The sequence below is a fragment of the Homo sapiens genome, chromosome 2 (genome assembly GCF_000001405.40).
Source record: "Homo sapiens chromosome 2, GRCh38.p14 Primary Assembly".
Classification (NCBI taxonomy): domain Eukaryota; kingdom Metazoa; phylum Chordata; class Mammalia; order Primates; family Hominidae; genus Homo; species Homo sapiens.
In genome coordinates this window covers 135,760,503-135,778,458 of record NC_000002.12, presented here as the reverse complement: position 1 = coordinate 135,778,458, position 17,956 = coordinate 135,760,503, and the positions used below count along the sequence as shown (strand labels likewise).

Sequence of the window (17,956 nt, the reverse complement as noted above, 5' to 3'; positions counted from 1 at the left end):
ACACAATACCAGATCCAGGAACGTACAATGGACAGCACTGTAAGTCACCCTCACAATTTTAAGTCCTCTATATACAAAAATCACTTGTAAAATCTTAGACATCTGTGTATCTTTCCCTAGAAGATTCCAAAGAAGGAGACTAACTTGTTTTTCGTATTTTTTTTTTTTTACTGTAGATCACACATACCCCTCACTGTTCTAAAGATACACAAAATACAAAACTTGATAACTGTACTGAGGTGGAATTTTTGTTTTTTGGGTTTTTTTTTGTTTTTTTTTTTTTTGAGACAGTCTTGCTCTGTCGCCCAGGCTGGAGTGCAGTGGCGCGATCTTGGCTCACTGCAAGCTCCACCTCCCGGGTTCACACCATTCTCCTGCCTCAGCCTCTCGAGTAGCTGGGACTACAGACGCCCGCCACCACGCCTGGCTAATTTTTTGTATTTTTAGTAGAGACGGGGTTTCACCGTGTTAGCCAGGATGGTCTCAATCTCCTGACCTCGTGATCCACCCACCTCAGCCTCCCAAAGTGCTGGGATTACAGGCGTGAGCCACTGCGCCCAGCCTGTTGTTTTTTTTGAGATGGAGTCTTGCTCTGTTGCACAGACTGGAGTACAGTGGCGCAATCTCAGCTCACTGCAACCTCTGCCTCCTGGGTTCAAGCGATTCTCCTGCCTCAGCCTCCCGAGAAGCTGGGATTACAGGCGCCCACCACCACGCCCGGCTAATTTTTGTATTTTTAGAATAGATGGGGTCACCATGTTGGTCAGCCTGGTCTCAAACTCCTGACCTTGTGATCCACCCACCTCGGCCTCCCAAAATGCTGGGATTACAGGCGTGAGCCACCATGCCTGGCCTGAGGTGGAGTTTTAATAGGACACATGCAATCAAAGATGTAGTCCCTTCTCCATTTACCTGTGGCAAAAGCAGTGAAACTCAGGACAGGGGACACATTGTGGGAGGCTCCAAGACAAAAGAAGAATGAAAGCACCTATTTGGGACTGTTTCTACTATAAAGCTTAGGGGGAAACAGTTTTTAAAATAAACGTTTACATTGTCCAGCCTAGTTCACGAGTGCAAGAAGACGACCAAATGTGGAGAAAAGGTCTGGCGGAAAGATCTGAACCCAAATCCCTAATTTTAACCTTGAAATTATATATATGAAAAAAATACTGATACATATAATGAGCCTAGAACCCAAAGGACATCTGATGCTCAGAATCCGTTTTGAATAAGGAATCAATCAGGGAATAAAAATAAATTGAAAACTACTCATATCTCAAGATATATACTCCATTCAGATTCTGAGTAAGGCCACCTTTTGGAAGTAAATTCCTGAAGAAGATACTATTGTCAAATAAAGTTTACTGCCTCTTTTTCCTTAGCCAAAAGGTAAATCGTAGGAAAATGACCAGCCCCTAAGCAATCTGTAGGAAATGGAGAGAGGAGTGAGAAAAACTGCTTCCATTTCAGGGGAGTGGGACAATTCCCTCACATCAGACCTTCGGGAAATCACTTGCCTGTCACTCCTTCAATGAGTCTACTAATCAGTGAAAAAAGTTCCCAGTGGCTGGGCTGGGTGGCTCACGCCTGTAATCCCAACGCACTGCGAGGCTGAGGTGGGAGGAATGCTTGAGCCCAGGAGTTCAAGACCAGCCCGGCTACATGGTGAAACCCTGTCTCTACAAAAAGTACAAAAATTAGCCGGGCATGGCAGTACATGCCTGTAAGTTCCAGCTACTTAGGAGGCTGAGGTGGGAGGGTCGCTTGAGCCCAGGAGGTCGAGGCTGCAGGGAGCTGTGATCGCACCACTGCACTCCAGCCTAGGCGACACAGTGAGATCCTGTCTCAAAAAATTTTAAAAAAGAAAAGTTCCCAGGACCTATTATACAATATCAGCAAATTCCTACTTCTGCACACAAAGCAGATATGTTACTCCCATATGCACTAACACCCGACAGAATTTCCACAATATCTCAGAGGCGTCTTGTGCCTCCCTCCTGGAGAGGTCACAATTCACTCACATTCAACTTCTGCTTTGAAATTTTCCCTTCCTATAATTTAGTAACCTACACATCTATTTTTACTACAACTCAAGACATAAATTTACCTGTGCAGCAAACTGCCTTGCCTCTTCTAGAGGAGCATCAGAAGGGAACTGATTTGTAAAGGAAGAACCATCAGGAAGACGGAATTGAATTCTTGCAACAGTGCTATGAAAAAAGAAAATTAAAGTCACAATCTTCACCTCTATATATTCTCTAACAATATCATTAAGTTAGAGAAAATGGAAGTGGAAATGTGCAATGACAATAGTTTTTTCTACCATATCAGATCTTTTTGTTTGTTAATAACTGCTTTACTGAGATTCATATAAAAAATTAACTCTTTTAGGCTGGGTGTGGTGGCTCACGCCTGTAATCCCAGCACTTTGGGAGGCCAAGGCGGGCGGATCACCTGAGGTCAGGAGTTCAAGACCAGCCGGGCCAACGTGGTGAAACCCTGTCTCTACTAAAAAATACAAAAATTAGCTGGGCATGGTGGTGTATGCCTGTAATCCCAGCTACTCAGGAAGCTAAGGCAGGGAGAATGGCTTGAACCCGGGAGGTGTAGGTTGCAGTAAGCCGAGATCATGCCACCGCACTCCAGCCTAGGCAATAGAGCGAGACTCCATCTCAAACAAACAAAAATTAAGCCTTTTAAAGTGTACAGTTCAGTGATTTTTAAATATATTCAGAATTGTGCAACTATCAACATTATCTAATTCCAGAACATTTTCATCATGCCAAAAAGGAACTCCAACCCCATCAGCAGTCACTCCCCATCCCTCCCTCCTCCAGACCCTGGCAACCACTAATCTACTATCTCTACGGATTTGTCTATTTTGGGCATGTTGTGTAATAGAATCATACAGTATGTGACCTTTGTAACTTGCTTTTTTCATGGAAATTGTATTTTCAAGGTTCATCCATGTTGTTGCAGGTATCAGTTCTTATTCCTATTGCTGAAAAACATTGTTGTATGAGATACAGTTTACACATTCTTCAGTTGCTGGACATTTGGGTTATTACCACATTTTAGCTATTTTGACTAATGCTGCTATACTCATGTACAGGTTTTTGTGTTGACGTTTTCAATTCTCTTGGATATAAACTGCTGTATAAACTGCTGCTGTAGAACTCCTGGGTCCTATGATAACACTATGTTTAACATTTTGCGTTACTGGCAAACTGTTTTCCAAGGTGGCTACATCATTTTACAATCCCACCAGTAACACAGAAAGGTTCCAAATTCTCCACATCCTCACAAACACTTATTACTTTCTCTTTACATTTAGGCATACTTAGTGGGTGTGAAATGGTATCTCATTGTGGTTCTGACTTGATTTCCCTAATGACTAATGATGTTGAACATCTTTTCATGTGCTTACTGGCCATTTGTTTATCTTCTTTGGAGAAATGTCTATTCAAATCCTTTCCACATATTTGAACTGGGTGTCTTTATAATTGAGTCACAGGTTCTTTTTATATTCTAGACACAAGTCTCTCATCAAATATATGATTTGCAAATATTTTCTCCAATTCTATGGGTTGTTCTTTGCATTTTTTTTTTTTTTTGAGACAGAGTCCCACTCTGTCGCCCAGGCTGGAGTGCAGTGGCGCAATCTCGGTTCACTACAACCTCCGCCTCCCTGGTTCAAGCGATTCTCATGCTTCAGCCTCCTGAGTAGCTGGGATTACTGGTGTGCACCACCATGCCTAGTTAATTTTTGTATTTTTAGTAGGGACGGTTTTTTGCCACGTTGGCGAGGCTGGTTTTGAACTCCTGGCCGTAAGTGATCCGCCTGCCTCAGTCTTCCAAAGTGCTGGGATTATAGGTGTGAGCTACCATGCCCAGCTTCTTTGCACTTTCTTGATGATATCCTTCAAAGCACGAAAGTTTTAAATTTTGGAAGTGCGATTTACCTATTTTTAAATTTTGTTCCTGTGCTTTTAGTGCCATGTCTAACAATCCATTGGCTACTCCTAGATCACAAAAATATATTCCTCTTTTTTCCTCTAAGAATATATATTTTATAGTTTTACTTTTTGGTAGATGATCCATTAAGTTAATTTTGTACATGGTGTGAGGTAAAGGTCCAAATTCATTATTTTGCATGTAGATATTCAGTTGTCCAAGCACCTTTTGTTGAAAAGATTCTTCTTTCCCACTGAATAGTCTTGGTACCCTTTTCAAAAATAAACAGTTCATAAATGTAAGGGTTTATTTCTAGAGACTCCATTCTATTACAATGACCTGTATGTTCATCTTATACCATTACATCACTGTATAGCTTTGCAGTAAGTTTGAAAATCAGGAAGTATGAGTCATCTATCTTCATTTTCCAGTTTGTTTTAACTATTGTGTTTCTTGCATTTCCATATGAATTTTAGGTTTATAATTTATGGAAAAAAGCCAGCTGGAATTTTGATAGGAGTGTTGAATCTATAGATCAGTTAGATCAGTTTAGGGAGGATTATCATCTTAACAATGTTAAGTATTCTTATCCATGAACATAGGATACTTTCCAGGTATTTAGGTCTTAAATCTTTCAACAATGTTTTGTCATTTTTAGCACACAAATCTTACATTTTTGTTAAATTTATTACTTCATTATTTTTGGAAAATTATTTTTAAAAATTTTTCTGATTACAAAATACTACTTGTTAACTGTCCAATATGGAAATATGAAAAGGCACAGAGAAGACAATAAGTATTAACCATAATCCAATTAGCAAGGTGTACTAGAAATCTAAACTTTTTTTGTCTTTTCAACATATTTTTGTTTTGGGAACTGCCTTCTTACCCTGCTATGTGTCATTCGTTCTGGTATAATTATCAATAACATTTCCCCCACCTCCTTCACCACAAGATTGGGCATGTCACCTCCTCCAACCAGAGGGCCCACACATGTGGACACTGACTACTCTGAAGGTGGCCACATGATCCAAACAGGGGCAGTCAGAATTCTCAGTGACTGATACAGGCATGAGAGAGAAAAGGTTAATCTCTTCTGTCTGGGATCGTGAATTCAAGGTCCTGAAAGTGCCAGGAGGTGCTGGGCTCTCCTGACACCATTTGGAGAGTTTCTCTAAGAATGAAGCTAAAACAGAAGAAACCAAGAATTAAAAAGAGAGAGAGAAATTGTAATGGTATCCTTTAGATTGCTGGACACAGCTATGCCTAACCAAATTCACCCTTGGATTTCTGAACTGCAGAGCCAATGTATTTCCTCTTTTGCTTAATCCTATCGGATAGGGGATTCTGAAAAATAAAGAATCCTAATACGTATGAGATAAACATTATATTCATTTGGTTACAAATCATTTCTGTCTTTGGAAAACAGGTATTTATTGGGCCCTCTTTTTTTTTTTTTTTTTTTTTGGGGACGGAGTCTCGCTCTGTCGCCCAGGCTGGAGTGCAGTGGCGCAATCTCGGCTCACTGCAAGCTCCGCCTCCCGGGTTCACGCCATTCTCCTGCCTCAGCCTCCCGCGTAGCTGGGACTACAGGCGCCCGCCACCATGCCCAGCTAATTTTTGTATTTTTAGTAGAGACGGGGTTTCACCATGTTAGCCAGGATGGTCTCGATCTCCTGACCTCGTGATCCGCCCGTCTCGGCCTCCCAAAGTGCTGGGATTACAGGCGTGAGCCACCGCGCCCGGCTATTGGGCCCTCTTTTAAAGTTATTTATGTAGTACTTTTTTAGTGTACACTCACACGAAATGAGAGATACCATTGGGAGCTGTCAAATTAATATGTCCCTCTGGAATGGACTGCTTATAACCACAGTATACATCAGTGTTAAAAACCAGCTTATAATCATTCTCCTCAGCCCCTATGTGCACAGAGATGTTTCAGCATGAAATATAGTACCTTCTTTCTCTTGCATAAGATTCCCTCTTGACTTCCATTTCTGCCTGTTTTGCTAGCAAGGCAGCAGCTTTGGCAGCCTCTACTTCTTCCTTTGTCTTTGCAAAACGAGCAGCTCTCTCTGCACGGTCCTTTAAAACATCATTAAATACCAATTACCTTTACTGCCAGAATGGTTAATTCACACAATTCCAAACAAATATGCATGGAATTTTTTTTTTTTATTAAGAGACAGGGTCTTGCTGTGTCATCAAGGCTGGAGTGCAGTGGCACAATCATAGCTCACTGCAGCCTCTGAACACCTGGGCTCAAGCAATCCTCCCACCTCAGCTTCCAGAGTAGCTGGGACTACAGGTGTGTGCCACCATGCCCAGCTAATTTTTTTTCTTTTCTTGTAGAGGTGGGGTCTCACTTTGTTGCCCAGGCTGATCTTATACTCCTGGCTTCAAGCAATCCTCCCACCTCAGCCTCCCAAAATTCTGGGATTACAGTTGTGAGCCACTGTGCCTTTGCTGCCTGAAATTGTCTAACACCATATGTGAACTTTAACATTCTGGAACTGTTATTTTTTAGTTTTATCAACTGTCGGAGACCAGAATTATTATTAAGGAAACAAGGAAATGAATTTGCTCACTACTGTATCTCCAAAGCCTGGAACAAGGTCTGGTACATAATAAATGCTCAACAAGCCTGGGTGTGGTGGCTCACGCCTGTAGTCCCAGCACTTTGGGAGGCCGAGGTGGGTGGATCACCTGAGGTCAGGAGTTCCAGACCAGCCTGACCAATGTGATGAAATCCCGTCTCTACTAAAAATACAAAAATTAGCTGGGCATGTTGGCATGCACCTGTAACCTCAGCTACTTGGCAGCCTGGGACAGGAGAATTGCTTGAACTCGGGAGGTGGAAGTTGCAGTGAGCCAAGATTGCGCCACTGCACTCTAGCCTGAGCAACAAGACTAAAACTCCATCTCAAAAATAAATAAATAATAAATGCTCAACAAATACTTGTTGACTGACCAAATGAACAAAAATATTAAGGTAGGGATGGCTTTTTTTCTTTCTTTCTTTTTTTTGAGATGGAGTTTCGCTTTTTGTCGCCCAGGCTGGAGTGCAATGGCACCATGTCAGCCTACTGCAACTTCCACCTCCTAGGTTCAAGTGATTCTCCTGCCTCAGCCTCCCAAGTAGCAGGATTATAGGCGCCCACCACCACACCCGATTAATTTTTGTATTTTTAGTAGAGATGGCGTTTCACCATGTCGGCCAGGCAAGTCTTGAACTCCCGACCTGAGGTGATCCGCCCTCCTTAGCCTCCCAAAGTGCTGGGATTACAGGCGTGAGCCACACCTGGCGGGATGGTTTTAATATGTATTGCAGCTGATGAATTATAAAAGCAATTGTTGCAAACTAAGCTTTATGATGTGCCTAAATCCTTTCAATGTTGCAAAAAAGTGTGCCTGTGACTACAGAAGAACTACTAGGTACTTAGTACTAGTAGTTACTACTAGTAGGTACTTAGTACTAGTAGTAGGTACTAGTACTTAGCTTATTTTCTAGGGAATCTTTAAAAGCTGCTTTTTGAATGCTGATAAAAGTCATAAATTAACAAAATATGAATAAAAATCACTTCAAAAAAATCAACTCAATTTTAATCTTAACTATTTTAATTCATTTACAATTTCTAATAAAAGGAAGCTCAGGATTGGTAGTCTATGAGTCACTAAAATCTATTTTTGTGTGCACAGTCTGGTAGTAATCTAAAGCTACTGTGCACAGAAAAACAGTTTCACGAATGTCTGGAAACTTAAGACTTACCAATGCAATCTGCTGTTTTATACGTTCTCGAGCTGCCCTATCTTCTGCTTTCTCTCTGTTTCTTTCCTCCAGCATTCTTTTTGTTAATTCTTCTTCTTGTTTTCTTTTATAATCCAACATTTCTTTTCCAGTTTTTCTCCTCTCAATTTCCTTCTTAATTTCTCTCTGAATTAAAGAAAAAGTTTTATGATCCAAAAACTTGATAATCTGCCCCAGATATTATTTTGAATGCAACGAAAACTGCAGTTAAAAGAATAAAACTTCATAAAATGTAAGTCTAGACGAGTTTATTAATGGCATGGTTAATGGTCAAATGTCTATCAATCTATAAATCATTGCCAATGGTCTGTTAAGATAATAATGTAGTCAGTGTAATTTGAAGGCAAGCATAATTACAGGTCTTTAGTCATGAGGGTAAATATATTACCCTTCAGGGACAACATGGCAGTCACGTATTTGGCTTGAATGAAATGGTAACCTTCCTATATTAGAACTCCAAAGACATGCTACACAGTTAGGTATACATGGTGAGAAAAATGAACCATGTGCTAGAATGCTTAACAGGAGAGGAAAAATTCAGCAAAATGTCTATACATTTTTTCACAAAAATGAACTAAAACTTTGTTCAACCTCAAGCCAAACATTTTAGCTCAAGTCCCTTTATTCTTAGTGTAAAAAAAAATCATTGCAGAGGGAAAAAGCATGGTCTAATTTATTCATAGTAATTTACGAAAAGAACACAAAAAATGTATATACTATGACTCTACTAGAGAAAACAGGAATTATCTTCATAGTGCTGCAACACTGAACTAAAACTATGAAGTCACCCTAGGCCTGCCACACTGAATAGAATAATCAATCACAACCTCAGTTAATGAGAGGACAAAACAATGCTAACTGCATGAACTTTACCTGTTCTTCCTCTTTTCTTTTCTCTTCTCTCCTTTCTTCAAGTTTTTTTGTTAGTCTGTATTAAAAAAAAAAAAACCACCACTAATTGAGACACATCATATTAATATAAAACACATTTAGGAGATGGATTTAGCTAAAACAATTGGAGAAATAAAGAAACAAACAAACAAAAAGCAAGCAACTATTTATCTGCCTGGCTTCAGGCCCCTACAGAAATCCTGGAGTCAACGAGAGCCCATCAGAAGCCTAGCTTCATTCTAAATGCCTCACTTCCCACTTATGATTAGTTTCCCTTTTTTTCTGATTTACCTGATATTGACTTTAAAATCTACAAATACATTTTCAAACAAATACATAAATCAGTGACTTATAAATGCTCTACTCCTTATATAAAACTAAACAGCACTATGGTAAAAAAAAAAAAAACCTGTAAAAATAAAAACTTAAGGCCAGCAAATTATTAATACCAAATTACTAACACCAACTTGATTCTCAACTGTAAGAAGTTCATCAGTTAAAAATGAATGGAGGCTGGGCACAGTGGCTCATGCCTGTAATCCCAGCACTTTGGGAGGGCTGAGGTTGGTGGATCTCTTGAGCTAAAGACCAGCTTGAGCAACATGGCAAAACTCTGTCTCTACAGAAAACACAAAAATTAGCCAGGCATGGTGGCGTGTGCCTGTAGTTCCAGCTACTTTAGGGGCTAAGGTAACAGAATTGCTTGAGCCGGGAGGTCGAGGCTGCAGCGAGTCACGTTCGCGTTACTGCATTCCAGCCTGGGTGACAAAGGGAGACCCTGTCTGAAATAAACAAACAAATGGAGGCTGGGTGTGGTGGCTCACATGTGTAATCTCAGCACTGCAGGAGGCTGAGGCAGGAGGATAGCCTAAGCCCTGGAGTTCGAAACCAGTCTGGGTAACAACTTGAGACCCCATCTTTACAAAAAATAAAAAATCAGGCTGGGCACGGTGGCTCAAACCTGTAATCAATCCCAGCACTTTGGGAGGCCGAGGCAGGCGGATCAATTGAGGTCAGGAGTTTGAGACTAGCCTGGCCAACACGGCGAAACGCTGTCTCTACTAAAAATAGAAAAACATCTGGGCGTGGTGGTGAGCGCCTGTAAACCCAGCTACTCGGGAGGCTGAGACAGGAGAATCGCTTGAACCTGGGAGGCGGAAGTTGCAGTGAGCCGAGATCATGTCACCGTACTCCAGCCTGGGCGAGAGTGAGACTCCGCCTCAGGAAAAAAAAATAATAATATAAAATCAGCTGAGCATGGTAGTGTAATGCAACGTAATGAAACCCCATCTCAAAAACTAATAAAATCGGCCAGGCACGGTGGCTCATGCCTGTAATCCCACCACTTTGGGAGGCCGAGGTGGGCAGATCACGAGGTCAGGAGTTTGAGACCAGCCTGACCAACATGGTGAAACCCTGTTTCCACTAAAAATACAAAAATTAGCCAGGTGTGGTGGCATGCGCCTGTAATCCCAGCTACTCAGGAGGCTGAGCCAGGAGAATCGCTTGAACCTGGGGGGCGGAGGTTGCAGTGAGCCGAGATGGTGAAACTGCACTCCAGCCTGGGAAACAAAGTGAGACTCCATCTCAAAAAAATAAAAAAATTTAAAAAATAAAATAATGATTCTGAAATTAGACAGTGGTAGTGGATGCACAACCTTGTGAATATACTAAAACTCACTGAATTGTACACTTTCAATTTCATGGTAGTGAATTATATTTCATTTTTTTAAATGAAAATGGTATTTTCTCTAAAAGTGTTTGGTGTATACCAAACTGAACAATGTGTGCCAGCAATCAAGGGAGTGAGTACTGTCAAAAAGCCAGAAGACCCAATATGAAGGGGATTCCAACAAGTCAAATTTGGGGCAATTTGTGCACCAAAAAGAATAGAGAAATGGATAGTAACACATGAGAGAAAAAAAAGCATCTGTGACATGTCTTAACTGCTAAGGGGAACTGTAAATTGGCCTAACCACTTTGGAAAGCTGTTTGATCACTATGTATAACCCAGAAATTCCCGCTTCTTCATATATATGCCCAAAAGAAATGTGTACACATGTTCACCAAGACATATACAAGAATATTCCTCATAGCAGTTCTATTCAAATAGCCCCAAACTGAAAACAATCCTAATGTCCACCAACAGTAGAATGGATTAATAAATCAAGGTAGAGTCAAACAGAATACTATAAAGCAATGAGAGTGCACCAATTACTGTGACATGCAACACGGATAAGCCTCAAAATACAAAGCTGAACAAAGGAGATCAAACACAAAAATACACGTTGCATGATTCCATCACAAAGTTCACAAACAGACAACTAACCTACAGTGTTCGATTCAGGATAGTGATCATCTTATGGAGGGAATCCATAATTGGGAAGGGGCATTAGGAAAGCTTATTAGGCACTGTTAATTTTCTTTCTTTCATTTTTTTTTTCCGAGACAAGGTCTCACTTTGTCGCCCAGGCTGGAGTGCAGTGGCACGATCTCGGCTCACTGCAACCTCTGCCTCCCGGGTTCAAGTGATTCTTCTACCTCAGGCTCCTCAGTGGCTGGGACTACAGATGCACACCCCCACGCCCAGCTAATTTTTGTATTTTTAATAGAGACAAGGTTGCACTGTGTTGGCAAGGCTGGTCTTGAACTCCTGACCTCAGGTGACCCGCCCACCTTGGCCTCCCAAAGTGCTGGGATTACAGGCGTGAGCCACCATGCCAGACTAGCACTGGTAATTTTCTATTCCTTCATCTGGGTGCTGGTGTCCAATAAGTAGTTTACTGGAAAAAGGGGGCGGGGGTGGGCAGATGGAAAGTAGAGGGGGTAGATCAAAGCATTTCTCTACAGAAGAATGCTAGCTGATAAATGTAGAAAAAAACAGAATGAGAAAAATACCACAATTTTTAAACATCAATGAAATAGGTGATTACAGCAAAAATCAATGAATGCTGAAACCACCGGGTGAAGTTTTTAAGCAGTAGGATATTTACCATTTGAATCACCCCATAGACAACTTATATATTAGAAAATGAAAAGGGTACCCAACAGACAACATCCTAACCAAATAATTAAACTTTACAGCTCCAATAATGCATACATCTCATATTACTTGTCTCCTGATATGAGTAATGGAAAGGACAAAACATTATCTTGGTAATGTTCTTATCAGAGTTTAACCTGAATCTAATGATAGAACAGGGAGCAGATCAAAGGACATTGTAGAAACAACTAACCTAGACTCTTCAAAATGTCTAAATCATGAAAAATGCAAACAAGAAGTGTCTTGGATTCAGAGCCTAAACTAAATGCAATGAACAATCCTTGACTGGATCTTGAATCAAGGGAAGAAAAGTTAAAAGGGCCATTATTGGAGCAACTGGGAAATCTGAATACGGACAAATTAGATAATCTTACTGTATCAATTGAGAATTTCTTGAGTATGATAATGGTATCGTGCTTGTATCTGAAAATATACACCATCTGAAAATGGTGTATAAACGTATTTATAGACCATCTGTAGAATTTTCTTCTGAGAAATACAAACGCAAGTTTGTTTTAATTTGGGTGAAAAGCTACACTGCATCTAATTTAATAACAAATTGACTGTTCCATAACTTCTACATTTGGGCTTCGACTTTTTTTTTTTTTTGAGATGGCTTTTCTCTCTTATTGCCCACGCTGGAGTGCAATGGCATAATCTCAGCTCACTGCAATCTCTACGTCCTGGGTTCAAGCAATTTTCCTGCCTCAGCCTCCCAAATAGCTGAGATTACAGGTACCCACCACTACGTCCGGGTAATTTTTGTATTTTTAGTAGAGACAGGGTTTCACCATGTTGCTCAGGCTGGTCTCGAACTCCTGACCTCAGTTGATCCACCTACCTCGGCCTCCCAAAGTGCTGGGATTACAGGCATGAGCCACTGTGCCGGGCTGGCATCTACTTCTTAATGGTCACTATGCCTGCTTGGGTGCCAGAAGGGGGCAGGACATGGGTCTGTGAGCACAGATCCCCAGATCCTGGCCTAGGATGGAGTCCCTGCTCAAAGCCCACAGACCCTCAGCCAATGTCTTCCTAGGAGCTGCATGCTGAGGTATCTAGGCATGAAGTGAAATTATGTCTGCAACTTTCAAATGAATCAGAAGAAAAAAAAAAAGAAAAAAATTAAAAGATGGCCATTACACTATTTTTTCAACGTTGAGGTTTGAAACTTATTCAAATAAAAAGACTAGAATTCATGGTAGTATATATTATCTTTGCCAGATAATTCTGCCCATTTTAAACATAATGACATGGCTGGGTGTGGTGGCTCATGCCCGTAATTCCAGCACTTTGGGAGGCCGAGGCGGGCAGATCACCTGAGGTCAGGAGTTCGAGACCAGCTTGACCAACATGGTGAAACCCCTGCCTCTACTAAAAATATAAAAATTAGCCGGGTGTGGTGGTGGGCACCTGTAATCCCAGCTACTCGGGAGGCTGAGGCAGGAGAATCGCTTGAATCTGGGAGGTGGAGGTTGCAGTGAGCCGAGATTGTGCCATTGCACCCCAGCTTGGGCGACAAGAGCAAAACTCCATCTCAGGGAAAAAAAAAAAAAACATAATGAAATAAACAAAATAATGCATTTTAACTAAAGATTCGCTAAAAGATTCCTATTTCACATCTGTTACTTTAGTGAAACATTGTATATCCTGGCCAGACGTGGTGGCTCAAGCCTGTAATCTCAGCACTTGAAGAAGCCAAGGCGGGTGGATTATTTGAGGCCAGGAGTTCGAGACCAGCCTGGCCAACATGGCAAACCCCTGTCTCTACTAAAAATACAAAAATTAGCCAGTCATGGTGGCGCATACCTGTAATCCCAGATACTCAGGAAGCTGAGGTACGAGGACCACTTGAACTGGGTGGAGGAGGTTGCAGTGAGCCGAGATCATGTCACTGCACTCCAGCCTGGCAACAGAGCCAGACTTCATCTCAAAAACAAACAAACAAAAAACCATCACAGGCGAGGTGCTGTGGCTCACACCTGTAATCCCAGCACTTTGGGAGGCCAAGGTGAGCAGATGACCTGAAGTCAGAAGTTCAAGACCAGCCCAGCCAACATGGCGAAACCCTGTTGCTACTAAAAATATTTTAAAAATTAGCCGGGTGTGGTGGTGCATGCCTGTAATCCCAGCTACTTGGGAGGCTGAGGCAGGAGAATCGCTGGAACCCGGGAGTCAGAGGCTACAGTGAGCCAAGATCATGCCACTGCACTCCAGCCTGGGCAACAGGGCAAGACTCTGCCTCATAAATAAATAAATAACCATTGTATATCCATTAATATTAAAAATAAAAACTTAGATCTCACAATTTCAAATCACCAATCCGTTTTTTTTTAATTATGTTTACTTGACAAAATGCAGCTCAAGATTGAAGGACTATGTTCTTATGTACAAGATAGGATGAATTTCTCACTAATGTCAATTTGATTTAGTCACCCTTTCCCTTAACAAAATTAGTTTTCTTTGAAGCTAGATGAGAAAAAAGCCTAAGACTTAAAGTCAACTACAGTAATTAGTTTTCCAAAAACATGGTCTTTGGAAATAGATCTCAGTTTCAACTGTAGCCTGAGAGGAAAGTAAGAATCTTACATTTGCTAATCCATCCTGCTTTATTTTTTATTTTATTTTATTTTATTTATTTTGAGACGGAGTAGCACTCTGTCACCCAGGCTGGAGTGTAGTGGCATGACCTTGGCTCACTGCAACCTCTGCATCCCGGGTTCAAGCAATTTTCCTGCCTCAACCTCCTGAGTAGCTGGGACTACAGATGCGTGCCATGCCCAGCTAATTTTTGTATTTTTCTAGTAGAGACAGGGTTTCGCCACGTTGGCCAGGCTGGTCTTGAACTCCCGGCCTCAAATGATCCACCCATCTCAGCCTCTCAAAGTGCTGGGACTACAGGCGTGATCCACCATGCCTGGTCTTATTTATTTACTTTTTGAGACAGAGTCTTGCTCTGTCACTCAGGCTGGAGTACAGTGGTGTGATCATGGCTCACTGCAGCCTTGACCTCCTGGGCTCAGGTGATCCTCCCACCTCAGCCTCCTGAGTAGCTGGGACTACAGGTGTGCACCACCTCACCCAATTAATTTTTGTATTTTTTTGTAGAGATGGGGTTTTGCCATGTTGCCCAGGCTGGTCTCTATTTTCTGGGCTCAAGCAAACCACCTGTCTCAGCCTCCCAAAGTGCTGGGATTACAGGCGTGAGCCACCACTCACAGCCCCTGCCAAATTTTAACTCTGAATTTTTAATTTGTATGAAATAGATTTTAAAATACCATCAAGGTCAGAGAAAAATGCATGAATTTTGCTTTATAGAACTTCATATAATTCTAAAATATCAGATTACACAACAGGGACTGATGGGTCCAACTTAACCAGGCTGAGAAAAAGCACTTCAGTTCAGAGAGACAGGGAAACTAGTAGTTTCACAGTTCAATACCCTGCAAAAGATGGCAGGGGATGAGTTAGTTGAGGGCACAAGAGCTTCACAGTCTATGGCAGGGGATGGTGAGAACGATGGCAACTCTTAGGGTATAAATAATGAGCTAAGTGGACATTTGGAATGGGAATATTACATACGCTGGTGTTATTAGTTATTGTCATTGTCAATGAATCAGATTCCACAAAAGGAACAAGATTCCTAATTTGGCATGAACGCAGATGAATAAAATGCAGGATCTCAGCTTGTGAATTAATTAGTACTATGACACAGGCAGACACTAGCTGACATTCCCCTACATAAGAATGGAGGCTATTAAAAACTTTTTCCAGTATAACTAAATAGCGCCTGACCCCACCTCAAAATAAAGGGCTACCTGATGTAATTCAGGTTTTTGCCCCAAGTCTCCAAACCCTTTTCCAGATTTTTTATTTTCACTTCAGCCCAGAGTGGTGCAAATAAAGGTACAGAGTAGTGGGCCTGGTGTTAGCAAATCAGAAAGAAGCAAAACAGGATGAACCCTTGGGAACTTAAGTTTCCTGCTGCTATTCTTCTAGGCTTATACCACTTTCCTCACCACTGTGAGGTCCAGCCTGCTTTTCACCTCAAGGTCTGGGCACTGCCCCTTCCCCTACAAAGAACAATCAGAATCTAGGTTTTGCTGAAAAGAAGCTGATCTTTACTGAGTCACAAGCAAACTCAAAGACAATATCAGCAATCACTTTGAACCCTGTTTCCCCGAAGCATCTATGTGAACAAGAAAATATCAAGTCTCTCTAAGGAAGGTTTTTTTAAAAAAATTTTTAAATGCTAAGGAATTTTTTTAAACTTCCATATAACTAACGCTAAAGGGGTTTAAATCAGGGTTTAAAATATTCCCGCTTAACCACTAATTATTAACTCATGTAGGAATCACAGCATAAAAGACTATGATTTGACAATTACTGTATCATTAAAAATACTAGAAACTACAAAGAGCCAGAAATTTGTATCTGATTATTAGACCAACTAATGAAAAATGCCACTTAGTAGACACCCACTTATGCAGAACTTAAGCTCAGTACATAGTCATGAAATAAGCTGAAGTTCTTGCCCATCTGGAGCTTATTATCCTTATGGCATAGAGATAAAAGCAGAAGTGACAGATGGAAACACCCATGTACCAAAATACCATTAAAAAGGGGATTCTTAGAATGATCAGACCAAAAGCTGACTGGTGACTTCAGACATACATGAAAACTTTACACTTAGAGTGTAATGTTTATGGATACAAATTAGTTAGGTGATCAAAAATTTCAACTCAGAATTCTAAAACTTCATTTGTATAACTTTAGCTTTAATTCAAATTAATGAAATAACTGAAAACCACTGTCTTTTTAAACAAAATGCTATTTGCAAAAAGAAGAGCAAACCTTTCCACTCGGATGTTGAGGTCCTCTGCAGGTCTCTGATCTGAGCATCCACTAGGCTCCTGAGAGGAAGTGGCATGGCCTGCACTTTCTCCTCCTTAATTATTAAATAAAAAGAAATAAGAATACTGCATTTAATGCAACTTTTTAAAGGAATAAATCTTTCAGATTATAGCATCTGTTAATAATTTTATATCTTAAGCATTATATATTTTCCCTAAAAATGGAGAAGGAGCTAAATATGCTATTACTAATCCTAAAGTTTAGACGTGGATAAAATTGTTCACAAATAGAAATAAAGCAGTTACCGAGTTAAAATCACCAAGGTAAAGGTCAGATGTAAAACATGAATAACAATCTGGCAGGAGGCATGCCTGGCTATGGGTAGCCTTCACTCTAGAGCAGTGCCCTCCAATATCTATACTGTCTAACACAGCAGCCACTAGACAAGCGGCTGTTGAACATCTAAAATGAGGTTACTGCCAAGTGAGGGACAAATTTTAGTTGTAATTAATTTTAATTAAAATGTGGCTGTGGCTATTGAGCAGTGAGCAATACAGGCCAGGTTTGATCCTGGGTATGGCTCTGGACTTACACTGGTCCAAGGAATCTGCTTCTGCTGACCAGAGTGGTTCCTTAGAGAGCCTCTTTATGCTAGTTTTCTTTGAAGGATTTCCTGAAAGATAGACTTTTGTCCTAGCCTATTCTACAAGACCTCTGTCATTCCCTTCCTTACAACTTGCCACCAACCTGATTCTTCTTTACAGTCTTTGGCGAACAAGGACTCTGGAGCCACACAGTCATTTCAGTAAGTTCCTTAATACCTCTGTATCTCATCAGTAAAATGGGGATAGTAACCTCACACGGTTGTTATAAGAAATACGTGTTAATACAAGTAAAATGCTTAGAACTTAACTGAGACTGGCACATGGTAAGCATTTTCGTTACTACAGTAGTAGTAAAAATAATTAGTATGACTAAGTAGAGACGATGGTGCATATCTCTTCTCCCTCCCCATTCAGGGGCATAACCTAGGTAGCTTGAAATCAACAAAGTGGGAGTATTTACACCTGGGAAATTAGCAAATACTACAAATATGGGCCTTTGCTTCCACAGATCCTTCTGATAAATGTTTACCAGTGTATCACTGAATGCAACTCTTGGATAAGAAGTGGTAACCACTAGCAGCCAGTAGAGGCTCAATAGGAAATTAACCACCTTTCTTTAGCAAATAAAATAAATGCTGAGGACATGTCTTATTATCAGCAAAAATTTAACATCTTATGAAGATAACCTGTGGACAAGCTGGGGGAAAAGTGTTGAATAAGAGTACAGTTAGGTGAATCTATGACTCATAATTAAAGAGAAATGGAAAGATGTCATATAGAGGAAGATTTCCAATTGTATGTCAC

General features: G+C 40.8%; 1 protein-coding gene across 1 annotated transcript in view; it reads right to left on the bottom strand.

Moving 5' to 3' along the window:
* Positions 1-17,956, bottom strand: part of UBXN4 (UBX domain protein 4) — a 43,202-nt gene that overhangs the window by 6,598 nt on the left and 18,648 nt on the right. Inside the window, exons 6-10 of the mRNA NM_014607.4 lie at positions 16,548-16,641; positions 8,636-8,690; positions 7,724-7,888; positions 5,912-6,039; positions 2,108-2,210 (exon numbers count right to left, since the gene is read on the bottom strand). Coding sequence (NP_055422.1) covers positions 2,108-2,210; positions 5,912-6,039; positions 7,724-7,888; positions 8,636-8,690; positions 16,548-16,641 — 545 coding nt within the window. The remainder of the gene's footprint in view (positions 1-2,107; positions 2,211-5,911; positions 6,040-7,723; positions 7,889-8,635; positions 8,691-16,547; positions 16,642-17,956) is intronic.